This window comes from Homo sapiens, chromosome 13 (assembly GCF_000001405.40).
Source record: "Homo sapiens chromosome 13, GRCh38.p14 Primary Assembly".
NCBI classification, from domain to species: Eukaryota; Metazoa; Chordata; class Mammalia; order Primates; family Hominidae; genus Homo; species Homo sapiens.
The window spans coordinates 42,948,432-42,967,161 of NC_000013.11; the positions used below are offsets into that span (position 1 = coordinate 42,948,432).

Genomic DNA, 18,730 nt, shown 5'->3' on the forward strand with positions numbered 1-18,730 from the left:
TTTTTTTTTTGCTGTTTGTTTGTTTTTTGTGTTTTTTTTTTTGTTTTTGTTTTTTTCGGTGAGACAAGGTCTCGTTCTGTTGCTCAGGCTAGAGTGCAGTGGCGGCATGACCATAGCTCACTGTAACCTCAAATTCCTGGGCTTAAGAGATCCTCCCACCTCAGCTTCCCAAGGAGCTGGGACTACAGGCATGCACCACCACTCCCAGCAAATTTTTGTATTTTTTGTAGAGATGAGGTCTCCCTATGTTGCCCAAGCTGGTCTTGAACTGCTGACCTCAGGTAATCCACCTACCTTGGCCTCCCAAAGTGCTGGGATTACAGGTGTGAGCCACAGCACCCAGTCTCATAGCAGCTTCTTATTACTTTATTTGATTAAAAGAACAAAGCACTTTGTATTTTAAAACCATATGAATATATAATCTGTTACATTTAATGTGTAAACAGGAGATAAAATCCCAAGCCCCCCAACAGACTTAATGGATTCCCTTGTAGCCAAGTGGATTCCAGAAAGAAAAACTAAATTCCAAATTCTAAATGCCCCCTCCCTTTTGGAGTTTAGGCACAACTAACCAGCACATTAAAATAGACGTCATAGACTGCCCTAACACTAACAGACTCTTTGTGGCAATAAGATAACAAATTCCAACCTGACTCCAGTACAGCATCACACGACAGATAGCAGACCCTGAAGGAAATAAAAATTTTTTACCCCAAAATATATTTCTTTGGCATATTTTGAAATGGCCCTGTAAAGCTGTCTTTTGTGGGGAAAATTTGCATATGTAGAGACACTCTTACCCCTTCCAGGTCTTCCCCAGATCAAGGAGAGATAAGTGAGAATCTGTTATCTTTAAGGGTTGAAAAGAGAGGCTTTGGCCCAGGCACGTGGCTCACGCCTGTAATCCCAGCACTTTGGGAGGCCGAGGCAGGTGGATCACATGAGGTCAGGAGTTCAAGACCAGCCTGGCCAATATGGTGAAACCCCACCTCTACTAAAAGTACAAAACATTAGCTGGGCATGGTGTTGCATGCCTATAGCCCCAGCTACTGGGGAGGCTGAGGCGGGAGAAATCGCCTGAACCCAGGAGGCAGCAGTTGCAGTGAGCTGAGATTGAGCCACTGCACTCCAGCCTGGGCAACAGAACAAGACTCCATGTCAAAAAAAAAAAAAAAAAGAAAAGAAAAGAGAGACTTTTCTTTTTTGGTCATCAAGTGGCTGTTAGACATGAATTTTAAATTGTTAATGTTTAAAATGTAGCCAATTCTTATATCTCGAGAAAATTCTTAAAAGAACACTTTTTCCTAATACCCGCACACAAAATGAATCTGTCCTGCTTCACTCACATTCCTACCCTAGCTGAAATTCAAACCTCTCTTAACACTCATCCAAAAAAACACAATTGGAAAGATGACTACACCCCGCCCCCACCACCAACAAATTACCAATTAAAATTTTAAATGCTGAGATTTATTTTACCCAATGTTTTAAACAACCTAAATCATAAAATCCTATCATTGTTTTTTAAAAAAGGCTTATCAACTGTTACTTCACGTCTTCCATCTAATAGAAAAGTCCACCCAAAGGTATCACACATGAATTTTTATAAGTAGTAAATAATTACAGAGACTAAAAATAACCTTGAAAGTTAGACCAAGGCTAACTGCCGATTTCTACCCTCTGTTTTCAGGCTCAAGAATCCTAAAACGAATTCTAAATTATGAAATTGGAGTCTGTCCCTAGCCAGAGTAGCAGACTTAATGCACCATTAATCTGTTCTGCTCTCAGCCGCTCATTGAAACAGTCACAGTCATTCAATTTTTAGGGAAAAGACAGTACTGCAAAAGTACATTCCAGAGGTCTTTTCATAAAAACCATCCTGTGTGCTCCATCTGCATGTGCAATCTGCTTGTGTATTTTCAGCCAGCTTGCACGGGCAGATTAATGCGTACAATTAGAAAGCAACCTCACAGGCATTCAATAAACTGCCTTCATTATTACACTCAGGAGAGTCCCTTTGGATGTCAATAAAAGCCTAGTTTTCTGCCTGTTAGCTAAATAATTGACAACACTAAAAATAATCAGAAGCAAATGAACGAAGTCAAGAACAAGGTGTTAAGAAAGAGCACATTAAGATTCTCATGGTGGTGCCCCAGGTTGCTATCATGAGCTTTTTCTCCAGCAACTTGGATTTATAGTCCGCTCAAGTCCATGGTTGTCCTCTCTACAGAAAAAAAATACCATTCCTGGTTTGCTGTATGAATCACACATTGCAGCATGGTGAAACTAGCAAAGTATTGACTGGTTTGAAAGAATTTCTTATGTACGTTTCTATTTTATGTTCCTTCATTTAACAGTTTCAGGAGAATCTAATTTGGGAGGTGGGGGTAGGCAGTCTGGTTGGTCTGGCAAAACCTTTGTGCTGTTAAAAATCCAAAGAGGTGGCTGGGTGCAGTGGCTCACACTTGTAATCCCAGAGCTTTGGGAGGTCAAGGCGGGTGGATCACTGGAGGTCAGGAGTTTGAGACTACCCTGGCCAACATGGTGAAACCCTATCTCTACTAAAAATATAAAAATTCATTGGGTGTGGTGGCATTCACCTGTAATCCCAGCTACTTGGGAGGCTGAGGCTGGAGAATCGCTTGAACCCAGGAGGCGGAGGTTACAGTGAGCCAAGACCAAGCCATTGCACTCCAGCCTGAGCAACAGAGCAAGACTCCATTTCCAAAAAAAAGAAAAAAAATCCAAAGCACTTTCCTAGACATTTTTTCCACCATACACTGATTCTAAGGAGGTATGACAAAAACTTGTCATATAGACGATCCATCTTTTATAAGTCTCTTTTATATTTCTAACTACATACTCACTGCTTATTTCATGAGTTATTGGTCTTTTAATTTCAAAAGTAATTCAAAACATAATACTCTTTCAAAGAAGAACCTCACACATATACCTCTTCTTGTGTTTCTCAATAGGCTTTAAAAATCAATTTGAGATACTTCTCAATTTTAGCCAAACTCTGTTTTTCCTGGTTAACTGGGACTTTTACAATAAGCAGAAGAAAGAGCAAGAGTGAAATGTGTGTGTAATTGAATTCAGCTCCACTGATAGCAGGCCAGGTGGCTGAGGGCAAACTTCTTTTTTCTTTATAGAAAAAGGGTGATTGATCTTCTGTATTTAGTAAAACACAAACTCAAGAAGCTGGAACTATAAAAGAAAGGAGGTTGGACGCACAGCTTCTAATGTCTTTTAAAACTTCAAGAATCTCTTACCCTTTACTTTGCCATATTTAGAACTCTCCAGAGAATGAACCCATTCAACTATCCAGTCCTGTGCCCAAGGCCCCTCACTGTTAAGTAGGTCTTCCCTCTTCCAATGTAAAACTAGTATGCCACAAGACAATGACATTTGTTCTCATTTGTGACTCTAGGCTACTAAAGTTGAGAGGTGAAGCCAGCTGGACTTCTGGGCCAGGTGGGGACTTGGAGAACTTTTCTGTCTTACAAGAGGATTGTAAAATGCACCAATCAGCACTCCGTAGCTAGGATTGTAAAACGCACCAATCAGTGCTCTGTGGCTAGCAAGAGGTTTGTAAAATGCACCAATCAGTGCTCTGTAAAAATGCACCAATCAGCGCTCTGTGACTAGCTAGAGGTTTGTAAAATGGACCAATCAGCACTCTGTAAAATGGACCAATCAGCACTCTATAAAATGGACCGATCAACGGGATGTGGGCGCAGACAAATAAGGCAATAAAAGCTGGCCACCCCAGCCAGCAGCGGCAACCTGTTTGGGTCCCCTTCCATGCTGTGAAAGCTTTGTTCTTTCGCTCTCCACAATAAATCTTGCTGCTGCTCACTCTTTGGGTCTGTGCCACCTTTAAGAGCTGTAACACTCACCGCAAAGGTCCATGGCTTCATTCTTGAAGTGAGCGAGTCCAAGAGCCCACCAGAAGGAACCAACTCCAGACACAAAGCCACCAGCCCAGCCCCTAATCTCTCTCAACTCTTCCGGCTGAGCCTCAAAATAAATTCTCATTCATTCTCTACCCATGAAAGGAGAGGCAATGATACATTCACAGTCTTCATCTGGTGCCTCCCTCCCACCATATCTCTCTGCAAGACAGACAGTTTCTCCTGGTACTTAGCTCCTTAGCTTCCCACCAGCTCCTCACTCAAATGCCTTCTTTAGAAGAAGAGTTGGGACAGACAGGCTAAGGATTCTGTGATGAAAATGAGAGTGATGCTCCTTTTAGCTAAGGAGGATGACATCACTTACCAACACTTTCATCCTACCCCATACCATCTCCCATCTATTTTCTGGCCTGGGTAGCAGAAACACAGTACCTAACTTGCTAAGGAGCAAAGCAGAGGGTTGAGAAACGTCTCTTCCATTCCTGCCTCTGAATCTTAAAGCAAGAAGGAGCTGCTTATGATAGAGGCAGGATAATTTTAGTGGCATGAGAAATCAGAAGATACTGTGCTTAGAGGGGGAATATGTTGGAGGCTGTCACAAATATGCTCACCCCAACATCTGAGTGATCTTAAATTCTGCAAACAAGGAACAACAATGGAGTGAGAGAACAGGCGGCAGGCAGTGAATATTTCATATGAAAGTGGAGGGCCCATTACTGGTTCTGGTGGGACCAGAAATTTGTGTACAGCCTCCATAAAATAAAAGTTATATGATCCTATTCAATAAGGATCTCTGTAAGAAGGATCATTTCAAGTGCCTGTAATAGTCAGGCACTTTTATGTCATTTACATATTTTATTTAATTCTTGCAAATGGCCTATAAGATAGATATTATCTGTATTTAAGAAAAAAAAAAAAAAAACACTGACATTCAAAGAGTTTTAGTGAGAGCTAGGACTTTGAACCCAGATCTGCTTGGTTCTATTTCTACCACATTTAGAATTAATGTAGGGCCAGAAAGGACATGAGCTTATCCTTAAAGCCTACATAACAAAGTAGATTACGTTATAAAGCATGTAGTAGTTGCCCTGTATCTGTTAGCTGCTGTTGTTCACAAATCATACTGCAAATTACCTTGGTGTATGACCACCAGTTGAGACTTTTGCCAATAACTACTAAATGATTTCTCAATTCTTGTCTAGAAAAAAACACAAGTGTATAGTGGTCCTCAGTCCATCAGATAAATCCCTGGTCAGTTTAGACGCTGCTTAGGCACTTCAGTGCAAACACCCTATTCCTTATATTGGTATCCTGGACGTCAACATGAGCAGAAGTACCTTGGATCACCAAAGGATCAAGTCTTCCAAGTTATTTATAATGGGGAATTTCTCAAATTTAGTGTTATTGACTACTAAAGGATACTTTGGTGAGTAGACATGTCTCTCCCACCTTACTTACATGGTGAAAGAGTTCAATTACATAATTAATACAACAGCCAATAATCCAATACCAGGTGTTTTGACAAGTTAGCATCACCTGAATTTAAAACCTCTATGAACAATCTGCCTATAAAGGCACGAAGTTCTGAAAACATTAACTTACTATTGCTGATGCTCTCTAAATGCTTCTCTTCTAAGGTTTTCTTGAAGTCTTTTTTTCTCCTCCAGTTTATTGCTCTGAAATTGCAAATATCAAAACATAACTTATTAAAGATGCTTTAAGCAGAGTCATGATGTTAAAGTTACCCAAGGTCCAAAATCCTAAGGTTCAACTGGCCTTGATAGTCTAATACAGTATCCTGCTAGAGGCTCCAAGATGGTACTCCCTGTCAGACCCATGGGCACTGCACTGAAAGCCAGGAGCTCCAAGTTCTTTCCACAGCTCCCCTCTCCCAACTTGATTGGTATAATCACAGAACCAGCATTTTGCGTTTTTATTCTTTAGTTCAAATGATAGCAACATTTATTTTTTAAGCAGTGCTTTCAAAATGTTTTAATGAAAACATGAAATTTCCATACCAAGTATGTTAAATTAAAATTATAATAAATGGTTAAACAGCTCATACAAAATTTATACATACACTCAAATTCTACTAAAGTATTTGAGAAGAGATTTTCAGTAAGACAACCCAACTCCCTTCTGACTTAGTATCAGATACTTAAAGCTGTTGAGGGACTGAATAGCACATGTCATAAAAAAAGCCATCCACTTGAATAGAAAATAGTTCTTTTTTTTAATTAGCTGTTTGGAGAGCCTGGAGATAAAGGCCTTCATATTTGATATTACTGTCACCATGGCTCTGGCATATTTTAATCCAATTTAAATAACCCAGGAATGTTTGCTTTTTGCTCACCATGACACACTGTCATTTTTTAACTTGCTATGACCTATGAAAAACAAGTAAAATTCCTAGACAACAAATTTAATGGAGAGTTGAAACACATTCTACTATCCAGGAGGATCATGAAGTTTTAAATGAATCCAAGAGAGACAGTAAGGAGCTGGGGTTGCTTTAATAAAAATTGGATTTGCCCAGAAGAGGACCAGTGAAAGGAGAATATTGGAAATCATCACTTTCAAGCCCAAACATAAGTCTGGTTCCATCTTTCAAAGAAATGAAGAAACTGCTTGTATTGTTCATTTCCATGAAAGTCTTCATTCACTCAAAACTAATTACTAGTCCCATTTTGAAAGGCAAAATGGATGATGATTTCAGTTTCAGAAAAAAACTAAAGGAAATTTACTACAGTCAAAGAAAATCAATTATAAGGCAAGCAACTGGATTATTAATGAAACACAGAATTCTAGGAGGCAAACTAATGGAAAATTGTAAAACCAAATAAACATGATTCTAGTCTAGGAAAAAATCCTGACTGATGAGCACAAAAGTGTTCAATTGTGATGAGTTCCCTGCCCTCCAGGGTGGGGACTGGGGGGTCGTGGTGGATCTAAAAGGGTGAAAGACAGCAAGCGAGCAGTAAGTGTTGATTAAACCAGTATTCAGAATGCTACTCAGAGAACAGTGAGAAAGCCAAAAACAGCTAGAGACAAAAGGCTGGATCCCTTTAGCAAGGTTAGAAATTGAGACCACTGATTTTAACCTTTTCACTAATAGATTCCAACTCACAAACAGTCATACAGTAGCTAAATTTTATCCAACAAAAGTCTGTTTATGGCAGGACGCGGTGACTCACGCCTGTAATCCCAGATCTTTGGGAGGCCGAGGCGGGCGGATCATCTGAGGTCAGGAGTTCAAGACCAGTCTGGCCAACATGGTGAAATCTCATCTCTACTAAAAATTTAAAAATTAGCCAGTGGTGGTGGCAGGCACCTGTAGTCCAAGCTACTCGGGAGGCTGAGGTAGGAGAATCGCTTGAACTCGGGAGGCAGAGGTTGCAATGAGTCAAGATCGTGCCATTGCACTCCAGCCTGGGCGACAAGAGTGAAACTCCATCTCAGAAGAAAAACAAAAAAAAACAAAAAATGTTTGTTTATGCCTCAGCAGAAGTTGATAGTTGATGAAGAAGTATTTGGGGGGGGGGGGAAGTAGTAGTAGTAGTATTTCTGGAGTAGTTGAAAAATTGTATTCAATCCCTATTCATATCAAATGCCTGTTATATGCTCGGTACCATGTTAGATGCTGGGAATACAGCTACGAACAGAGAAGTGCCCATTCTGGAAAATGTTACAGCCTCGTTGGGGACACAGACAAAAAAGAAATGATGGCAGTATGCTAAACACATTAGGGGACAGCAGTTTGCAAATAACAGTAAGAATGCAGAAAAAGCACTTATATGGATTGTCAGGAAATGCTCTCAAAAGTTCCACAGTAACTCAATGCCTACTTAATGTTAGACTCCATCCTGAGCACGAGAGCCAAGAAGCGGAATAACACTGGGAATGTGGTTTCTAACTTTGGGTAAGCTGCATGTTATGAGGGTGCTTCTTTCTATGGAGAGTGGACTCACAGCTTTCTTCATATTCCCCAAAGAGCTGATGACCAAATAAAAGGATAAATACCATGGCTCTAATGAGAGAGAGAAATTCTATATCCAACCCAATCTTAAGCAAGAGTGTTTCAGGAGGAGGAGAAGGTAGGAACAGGGTTACTACACTCCATTATATGGGTTGTTCAGCCCATGGGGTCCCAGCAGGCAGGAGGGGAGTAGGAAAGGAAAAATAGAGCCAGTGTTCAGCTCACCAAGATTTGTACTGCAGCTTGTGGCTGCTTTAGCGCAGAGGAGGTGTCTTTTTCTGTGTCTCACAAAGGCACTATCTATCACCAGTCTGAGCACCCACAGAATTGACCGCCTGGATGGAGAATTGGTCTCTAATTTGCACAAAGGCAACCATGGGCTGGTAGTAACCCTGGACAGGAAAGGGGCATTCCCAGAACTTAACGTTTTTAATATACAAAGGTACAAGAGAATATGTTAGCTCAAGGAAACCCAAGAAGCTCATGGATAAATTGAACAACGTTTATAGAGAAAGGAGTAGAAGATAAGGATGAGAAAGTAAGAAGGAATAATTATATAGGAATGTATGTGCCAAGTAAAGGAGTTTGGACTTTATGAAACCCAACAGTAAGCCATTATATTAAGCAGGAAAGGAAGTGGCTCACTCTTATAGCAACATGGAGGTTAAACTGCAGCAAGGGCCACAAATACACGAGAACCCCTGGGGTGATTCTCACAGTAATCTAGGCCATAAATTACAAGCCCCAAGTTAAGTCAGCAGGTACAGGGAAGAAAGAAGAAAGGACAGTCTTCAGAAAAACTTAAAGGACAGAAATAATAGGAAGCATGATGATAGGGATATGGGATGAGTAAGAAAAGGAGGAAGAGTCTAAGATTACTATCATTTAAGAGCACCAGAATGAACATATGAGTTCAATTTTGAATTTATTGGATTTGAGGTATACTTGTGGAATATTTAGGGAGAAATATCAAGCATGCAGCAAAATATATGGTTCTGGAATTTAGAAATATGGTCTGGCCTGAAGATATGGACTGCAGAAATCAGTACAAACAATAACTAGATCCTTAAATGTGGAATTTTTCATCTAAGGAGAGGGGGCCTAGGCCCAGCAGTATCAGAGGAGACCACGGGATGGGATCTGGTAAGCATCAATAGTGGAAAAACAAGTACAAGGAAAGGATCCCAGAGACATTCAGGAGGTGGAATTTGAAGGACAGAGTACTTAATAGTTAATTTTAAATTTTAATTTTATTTATGTATTTATTTATTTGAGACAAGGTCTTGCTCTGTCACCCAGGCTGCAGTGCAGTGGTGCCATCTGGGCTCACTGCAACCTCTGCCTCCCAGGTTCAAGTGATCCTCATGCCTCAGCCTCCTGAGTAACTGGGATTACAGGTACGTACCACCACACCTGGCTAATATATGTGTTTTTGTAGAGATGGGGTCTCACCATGTTTCCCAGGCTGCTCTTGAACTCCTGGGATCAAGCAATTGGCCCGCCTTAGCTCCCAAAGTGCTGGGATTGCAGGCATGAGCCACCATACCCAGCCTTAATATTTAATTTTACACAGAGCAAAAATAAGTGAGGAATTTAAGAATCTTTACTGGGATCTTTTCTTTCTTTCTTTTTAAGAGCTGGGGTTTCACCATCTTGCCCAGACTGGTCTCAAAGCCCTGGGCTCAAGCAATCTTTCCTTCTTGGCCTCCCAGTGTCCTGGGATTACAGGCATGAATCACTCCGCCCAGCTGGATTTTTCAGTTAAGAACACCGTTGGTGATCTTAGGTAGATTAGAACCAGAGAAGCATTAGAAACAAAAGCCAAATTCAGCCCACCAACAAATGAGGAATCAGAGAAGGAAAGGAATCAGAGAAGGTAAGTTCTTAAGCTAGCTGATCCACACATCTCCTGGGGAACATTTTTTTTTTTAAATAGAGATTCTTTGGTTCAGGTGATTGTCCACAGACTGACATTTGGGAACCAAATATGGTAGAGGAGTCTTTCAAGAAGTTCGAACCATAATGCTTGGGACAGAGGAGTTGAAAGCAGACCACTATATGGAAAATTTGTTTTTAAGGTGAGAGATTTGAGTAAGATTAAATCCTGAGAAAGAAAAACAAAAACAAAACAAACAACAAAACAAGAAAGTGAGAGGAGAAAGGGAGCTTAACTGATAGAGAAGCAAGGTCCCTGGGGAGACCGGAGGGAAGATGAAATGGTGAACACATATGGAAGAATCCATGGTACCAATGAGGAAAAGGACTTTCTGATTCCTCCTGAGATAGGATGGGGGTAGGTGCAGCAAAGGGAGAGTAAGAAAAGAGAAAAATAAAGATACTTAAGGCTGGCAACCTTTATTTCCTATGAAGTGAGAGACAAGGTCACGTGCTGCAAATGAAAGGAGAGCATAAGAACATAAAGCCAGCAAGGATTTTGGTAATTGGGTTTGGTTCCCAGTTACAATGCAAAGAAAAAAAATGCTGGGCATTGGGCATTGTGAAAGACCCAGCTGAGATCAAATCTCAGAAATGTAGTGTGGCAAAAGAAAAAACAAAAGTCACATATGTTTTTCTCTCCAGCAACTTCATTCATGTGGGTTTAGTAGAAATGAAATAATTGAACCCATCCAATTCATGCATAAAAATAATAATACTCTCTACGCCCCCCTTCCAAGAGGTTGATATAATAGATTCCAACGAGATAGTGTTAAAGCACTTCTTTACATTTATAATTAGGTTAGGGTACTTTACTGAGTGCTTACCAAGTGCTAGGTATTGTACTAAGGGCTGTGTATATATTGCATCCTCTAGTCCTACCAGTCTCACTATTACATTATTATACCCATTTTACAAATAAGGTAAGTGAAGCACAGAAAAGCTATCAGCCTACACTCTTAGTACCACATGTTTATTTTAGAGATACTAACATTACCACATTATGGGGTTAATTAGCGAGATCCTATTACATTTCAATAACCAAAGGCTTAATGCTTCCACCAAGTCATCCACAAAGAAATGCATGATGTAGGAGCCACATTTCTTGGAAACACTGATGTTCCCTGAAAGTTTTCAGAAATGGAAATGTTTCCCAATTTATATAAACAACATTGAAATAACTTCCTCAATGTTGAGTTTACCCCTAAAATTGTTCTTAAACTGTTAGCCCTTGCTACTACTTGCTTCCTAGAAATAAGAAAGCAACAAGTGTGATCCCTTAACATGTACCTGTATGCAGCTCTGCATCTAATATGCATAACTTATTTTCTACCAGTTAGTTCCTACTTCACCGTATAGCATTAAAACTAACTGTGCTTCTCAGTGTCTGCATGAAACACTGTGACTTCCAGTGCTTCAAATGACTTTCACAGCCATGGCTTACTGGAAAGAGCAAGGAAAGGTGTTGGAAGCCACTCAGATCTTTAGCTGGTTTCCTGAATTCTCTGAGGTTATGATACCAAGAGGTTGGGGAATCAAATGAAGTATAGTTGGTCCTCCTTATCTGTGAGTTCCATATCTGCTGACTCAACCAACTTCCGATGGAAAATATTCAGGGGATGAGGAATAGACGGTTGCATCTATACTGAATATGTAAGACTATTTTCTTGTCATTATTCCCTAAACAATATAGTATAACAACTATTTACACAACATTTACATCATATTAGGTATTATAAATAATCTAGAGATGACTTAAAGCATACAAAGGATGTACATATGCTATTGCAAATACTACTCCATTTTATATAGGATTTTGGTATCCATTGTGTTGTGGGGGGAGGGGGAGGCAGCAACCAATCTCCCATATCTAAAGGATGGCTGTATCTGGAAACTATATAATACCGTATATTATCTCAAACATATGTAGATCGAAGGCAGAATAAGATGAACCCAGGAAATTGAGAGAGTCTTTAAAATGGAGTTAGAAGATTTTCATATTTTAGGTTTGTGGGTATTATGAAAGTCTGGGAAAATAAAATTATTATTTATCATGTGATTATGGGGGGAAAATGTGATTTACTCCCATAGCACTAAATTTGGGTGAAATGCTTGCTGTGGGGAGTTAGGAAAACCTGTCTATTTATACTGAAAGAACCAGTGGCAAAACACTTGCATCTGGTAGACTGCTTTTTTACTCTAATGCTCTAATGTCTTAGAGACGTTGTCTCTGCTTTATAGATTTCTTGGAAAAGAAATTAATGCATCATTATAAAACCACATGAGTAGTATTAGTTTCCTATTGCTGGTATAATAAATTACCACAAAGTTAACAGCTTAAAACAATACAAATTTATTATCTTACAGCTCTGGAGGTCAGAAGTACAAAACGGGTATCAATGGGCTAAAATCAAGGTGCCAGAAAGGCTGTGTTCCTTCTGGAGGCTCAAAGGGAAATAATCAGTTTCCTGGTCTTTTCCAGCTTCTAGAGGCTACCCACATTCCTGGGCTAATGGCCCCTTCCTACATCTTCAAAGCCAGCAGTGGTGGGCTGAGTCTTTCTCCTGGTATCATCTCTTCATTCTCTATCTCCCTCTCCCAATTTTAAGGACCTCTGTGATTATATTGGGCACCTGGATATTGCAGGATACGCTCTCTATTTTAAGGTCAGTTGATTAGCAACCCTAATTCCACCTGTGACCTTAATCCCCTTACCCATGTAAGGAAACATGTTCCTAGGTTCCAGGGATAAAACGTGGACATCTTGGGGTGGAGCATTATTCTGCCCACTACATGAATTATAATCTATTTTTAAATCAATAAATATCATACACACAATAGGCCAGCTATTTCCCCAAATCTTTACTCTCCCTAGCCCTCTGAGGTTTGGCTTTAGAATATGGGTGGTAGGGGAGGGTAAGAAAATACCTTTTTCATTTAGTGCTAAGCAGTGGTGTGCTGGTCAACATTTAATCAGGTCTAGCAGGTAGGAGCAGGAGGGGAAATTAATCTGTAGCATTTACTGATTTCCACATCGTAAATATTTTCCACCACAGTCGGTTTCAAACTGACAATGATGAAGCCAAGTAGCTCAAAAAAATCCTGAAAATGTGACAATTCCCACAGTACAAGGCAGTACAAGGAAGCTACAGAACATCACTAGAAGTATATATACTGTGACAGACTCTAGTCTAGGGAATGCAAGTTACATTCCTGAACTGAATACAACTCAAGTATACCAGTGCTGTCTCCAAATTTCCCTTTGTACCCATAGGATTAACTCTTCCTGGGCCCCACTGACATGACTGGATACTAAAGAGCTGGTTGACTTTCACACCTGTCTGTCTATTAAGGATCAAAGAACATGCACAAATGCTGGCAAGGAATCCAGTCTATTCTTCCCTCACTAAATGCTGCACACAGAGATGACGACCAATCAGAATGAGACCCAGTGTCCCCTGACTTCTTTTGGGAGAGAAGGAAATGAAGGGCAGAAGGGGACCAGCAGCCAGTGGGGGAAGACCAGAGACAAGGCTAGAGGCTCTTGGGTGGCAATAGGCTGCTTGGATTCTACTTGGCTCAGAGTTTACTGGGCAGCAGCCATTTGCCTGGGGAGGAGGGCAGCGTGTTTGCAGGCTGATGTCCATGTGTGTGTTTGCTGTGCATTTTAAAATATAAGTGCTCCATAAGCACAGCCATTATCACTTCCCTCGGCCATTTCCACACTGGCAATGTGAAATATGTCATTTCTAGATGGCTAATGTTCATTTTTCTTATCTGACACAAGCTACTAACTAGGCTCACATTTAACATGAAAAGCTACAGATTTATCTACAACAGGGAAGGCTAGGATCATGGTGACAGTGCAGGCCAATCAGCCAGAGAAATCACATCTGTGGAAGAACAAGGATGGGTCACCCCTTCTTTTGCAAGGTCATTTAAATTTATGCTCCTCGAGCTTTTATGTGCACAGGAATTACCTGGGGAGCTTGTTAAAATGCAGATTCTGATTCGGTAGGTCTGAGGTAGGGCTCAAGATTCTGCTCTTCTAACAAACTCCCAGATGATGCCAATGGTGCTTGTTCAAGGGCCATATTTTCAATGGGAAGGGTCTACAGATCAACTCTCTCTCCCCATCTCTCACATCCTGGCAAATTTATGCCAACAGAATTACAGTTATCATATTAGGAAAGGGAAAAACACTACTTTTAGACAATGTTTAAACAGTTTAGGCCAGGCATGGTGGCTCATTCCTGTAATCCCAGCACTTTGGGAGGCCAAGGCAGGTGGATCCCTTGAGCCCAAGAGTTCGAGACCAGCCTTGGCAACATGGTGAAACCCTCCCTGTCTCTACAAAAAATACAAAAAAAAAAAAAAAATAGCTATAGTGGTGTTAACCTGTAGTCCCAGCTACTCAGGAGGCTGAGGTGGGAGGACTGCCTGACCCCAGGAGACTGAGGCTGCAGTGAGCTGTGATCACACCACTGCACTCCAGCCTGTGCAACAGAGTGAGACCCCGTCTCAAAAAAAAAAGAAAGGAAACAGTTTCAACCACAAACATTTATGAATAGCGTACATTATTGACCCATGAAGAAATTAGCTGTAAATGACCCACACGCCAGCCAATGATGGGTATTAAATGACAACGAATAAATGATCTTTAGGACAAGAGGTTGCAATACAATAATTATTAAGGGTCTGCAAGCCTCTTCACCCTGTTCCTGGTGATGACTTAACAATTGTCTTTGTTCTACCTGAAATACAGGCTATGCTCCGTAAAGAGAGTGCCTCCTCTAGAATCACAAGACCTAAGCATGAATCTTCCTTTGAAGGATAAAATGGAAGGAAAAAAACTGGATGAGGAAAAGAAGAGTGGGGAATAGAAAGAGAGAGAGAGAGAAAGATGGATAAATTTTTAAAGTTACTATAATAAAAATCTTCTACAACGAAACTATAATTGTTGATCAGCAAATGTGAACTAATCCTCCTCCTCCTTACCTTCTCTCTCTGAATTGCCTTCATTTTTTGGAGTTCAGCTTCTTCAGCTTCCTTCTTGATTCTTACAGATTCTTCTCTTTTTAGCTAAATTGTATTGAAATTACAGAGAACAAAAACAGTTACCATTTTTCAGTCTGAACTCTGGAACACAAAATTATGATGAAAGGCAAATTACAGTATTGTTTGTGCTATACCTCACCATGATTATAGGTTGTTACTTCAAGCTACTTAGATCACAGAGAATGGCCGGGCTACGTCTTCTGCCCGTGAAATTTCTGTCTTTGTGTTTCTTCCTTGGTCTGTCTCTTTTTCAACGTCTCTGTCTTTGTCTATCTCTGTCTCTCTCTGTGTGTATGTGTGTGTGGTGTGTGTGTGTATTGGGGAGGGAAAAGGGAAAATAATTTTTCCTGATTACAAAACTCAGTGTTCATTGTAAAAATCGCTGGGAATCTTAAATATTTTTTGTACTACTTCCATGACTGCCATGCAGTAAACAAATCCATATTCTTAGAACCAAAACATTCCAAACATAGTAGACTTTAAACTATAGTTAAACATAGTTAACTTAAATGAAAAAAATAATTCCCTTAATCGAGGGTCATGCTGAGTGATAAAGGGCTTAGGTAGGAATTGAAGGTATCCATCTCTTCACTTCTCACTTCCTGAGAGCTTTGATTCTGAAAGCTGCCTTTTGCAACTGGTTGGAAGGTTTTATACTTTTGGTAAAGTTACTGTGTTATTTCACAGTTACTTGTAAGAGCTGGTACTCATATTCCTTACCAAAATTCAACTAAAAGAGATGAATTCTGACCTTTTGCTTGTATTTAGATTGCATCAGCTGGAGTTGTTGTTTCTGTCTGACTTCAGTTTCTGACTGGCTTCCACCTTAGGAAAAAAAAATCCATGAAGGTGAAACATAAATATTAAGCTGAAATGTCAGCCATCGAGGACTAATTAATATATAATAAATCTATAACATGAGTTCCCTTAACATTCTCATGCTCTTGCAAATAAGAACATAACCAGTTTTCCAAGAAGACCTTAAAGAAGGGGAATCACTTAGAAGAAAGAGCTGGATAGAAAGAGGAGACCATATTTTTAAAACAAAAGAGCACTTTTACTAAGGTTTTTCAATCATGTAGGTATTAAAGTTTTCACTTGGATTGAAATCATACCTAAAGGTCTGTGCTAAACAGAAGAAATAGTGCCTGTCTTGGAAACTGTAGAATATTCCTCCTGCTTGAATATGACCATGCCCGAACCTAGTAAAGATGGTGATCAAAGGTGCTTCTATTGCTTTTCTTCTTCTAACTCTATTGCCTTATATTCAAGCAGCAAGGCTCAGGAGGCTCTCAGAGGTCTTGCCACTAGACAAGCATGTAGTCTTTATAACCCAGTTTCTAAAAATACAATGGGAATATTCTAGTTAGTAACTGATCATCAATCCATACTATTTATTGTTCTTTCCTTATATAGTCAAAATAAAAATATGGATGTTAGATTATTTACTTGCTCTCTCTTAAACCTAAAAGAATTTGGGGCCAGAAATCCTGGCAGCTTGACAATCATCTAAGAATTACCATTTAGGGAATTCTCAGTGTTTATGCAAGCTTGGTGTGCGTATTATAAAGATTCCTTTGAAATAATTCTCTGGTGCTTTGGTCACTAAAAGTGTCAGCTCTCTGAAAGATTCACTCTCACAGAAGATGCATTAAAACAATTTGTGTTCACTATAAATCTTATAATTGAACTGAGAAAGATACCATAGGGACTTTTCTTCTGAGATCTGAAAGATATATAAGGCCTGTTTGGTGTTGGCCCTTTGACTGCTATTGTGGGGGATGGGGGATGTTTCTTTCAAAACAGTAAGGAATGTTGACATTTTTCTCTAATGTTACAGCAACTTTTAGTATCTCCTGCAACCATTCCAATATTGTAAGGGGTAGAGAAATAGAGGAGGAGTTGAAAATTAGAAGAAATGGAGAGAGCCAGATGTCTAAGCATTTACAAGTTTTGTTCAAAACTCATCTCAAAGTTTAATACATTCTAGAATTTTCTTTTCTACCCCCAAGTCCCTCCCACACACACATACCTGACTAACCCTAGATAATGCATATAACAGGAAGTCAAAATGAGAATCCTGCTCATTTTCTGCTAAGGCTTCAAGACAACAGATGCCGAGCGCTTCAAATTCCAAAGGGAGGTAATGGCCCCTCAAAGCAGGATCTGCAAGGAGGTAACTGAAACCTACCTTGGGGAACCTTAACTAACTTCAGCCTATAAAAGAGGTTGGTTAGGTCAAAGGGAGGCAGAAATCTGAGGAAAGATGTCATTCTGAATTCTATGTCTTCTGTGTTTTGAGGAAGGAGAAATCTTCACACCAGATGAGCAGGAGAAGTTTAATGAAAATCAGCTGGAGTCCCTGTCCCTCTCCCTCTCCCTCTCCCTCTCCCTCTCCCTCTCCCTCTCCCTCTCCCTCGTCTCCCTCTCCCTCGTCTCCCTCTCCCTCTCCCTCCTCTCCCTCTCCCTCTCCCTCTCCCTCTCCCTCTCCCTCGTCTCCCTCTCCCCACGGTCTCCCTCTCATGCGGAGCCGAAGCTGGACTGTACTGCTGCCATCTCGGCTCACTGCAACCTCCCTGCCTGATTCTCCTGCCTCAGTCTGCCGAATGCCTGCAATTGCAGGCACGCGCCGCCACGCCTGACTGGTTTTGGTGGAGACGGGGTTTCGCTGTGTTGGCCGGGCCGGTCTCCAGCCCCTAACCGCGAGTGATCCGCCAACCTCGGCCTCCCGAGGTGCCGGGATTGCAGACGGAGTCTCGTTCACTCAGTGCTCAATGGTGCCCAGGCTGGAGTGCAGTGGCGTGATCTCGGCTCGCTACAACCTACGCCTCCCAGCCGCCTGCCTTGGCCTCCCAAAGTGCCGAGATTGCAGCCTCTGCCCGGCCGCCACCCCGTCTGGGAAGTGAGGAGTGTCTCTGCCTGGCCGCCCATCGTCTGGGATGTGAGGAGCCCCTCTGCCTGGCTGCCCAGTCTGGAAAGTGAGGAGCATCTCCGCCCGGCCGCCATCCCATCTAGGAAGTGAGGAGCGCCTCTTCCCAGCCGCCATCACATTTAGGAAGTGAGGAGCGTCTCTGCCCGGCCGCCCATCGTCTGAAATGTGGGGAGCGCCTCTGCCCCGCCGCCCCATCTGGGATGTGAGGAGCGCCTCTGCCCGGCCGAGACCCCGTCTGGGAGGTGAGGAGCGTCTCTGCCCGGCCGCCCCGTCTGAGAAGTGAGGAGACCCTCTGCCTGGCAACCGCCCCGTCTGAGAAGTGAGGAGCCCCTCCGCCCGGCAGCTGCCCCGTCTGAGAAGTGAGGAGCCTCTCCGCCCGGCAGCCACCCCATCTGGGAAGTAAGGAGCGTCTCCGCCCGGCAGCCACCCCGGCCGGGAGGGAGGTGGGGGGGTCAGCCCCCCGCCCGGCCAGCCGCCCCGTCCGGGAGGTGAGGGGCGCCTCCGCCCGGCCACCACCCCGTCTGGGAGGTGTGCCCAACAGCTCATTGAGAACGGGCCAGGATGACAATGGCGGCTTTGTGGAATAGAAAGGCGGGAAAGGTGGGGAAAAGATTGAGAAATCGGATGGTTGCCGTGTCTGTGTAGAAAGAAGTAGACATGGGAGACTTTTCATTTTGTTCTGCACTAAGAAAAATTCCTCTGCCTTGGGAATCCTGTTGATCTGTGACCTTACCCCCAACCCTGTGCTCCCTGAAACATGTGCTGTGTCCACTCAGGGTTAAATGGATTAAGGGCGGTGCAAGATGTGCTTTGTTAAACAGATGCTTGAAGGCAGCATGCTCGTTAAGAGTCATCACCAATCCCTAATCTCAAGTAATCAGGGACACAAACACTGCGGAAGGCCGCAGGGTCCTC

At 41.8% G+C, this 18,730-nt stretch overlaps 1 protein-coding gene and 1 long non-coding RNA gene across 15 annotated transcripts in view; one reads left to right on the forward strand and one right to left on the reverse strand.

The window, feature by feature from the left end:
* EPSTI1 (epithelial stromal interaction 1) overlaps positions 1 to 18,730 on the reverse strand; it is a 105,854-nt gene that overhangs the window by 62,044 nt on the left and 25,080 nt on the right. For all 14 annotated transcript variants that reach the window (NM_001331228.2, XM_011535313.2, NM_033255.5 and 11 more), the window contains 3 exons: positions 15,635 to 15,708; positions 14,824 to 14,907; positions 5,517 to 5,590 (listed from right to left, as the gene is read on the reverse strand). In NM_001331228.2, the coding sequence (NP_001318157.1) occupies positions 5,517 to 5,590; positions 14,824 to 14,907; positions 15,635 to 15,658 (182 nt within the window). In that variant the 5' untranslated portion in view covers positions 15,659 to 15,708. The remainder of the gene's footprint in view (positions 1 to 5,516; positions 5,591 to 14,823; positions 14,908 to 15,634; positions 15,709 to 18,730) is intronic.
* On the forward strand, positions 9,702 to 12,374 carry LOC105370178 (uncharacterized). Its single transcript, XR_941910.3, has 3 exons — positions 9,702 to 9,766; positions 9,843 to 9,968; positions 12,308 to 12,374. It is a non-coding gene; the product is annotated as an uncharacterized LOC105370178 (long non-coding RNA).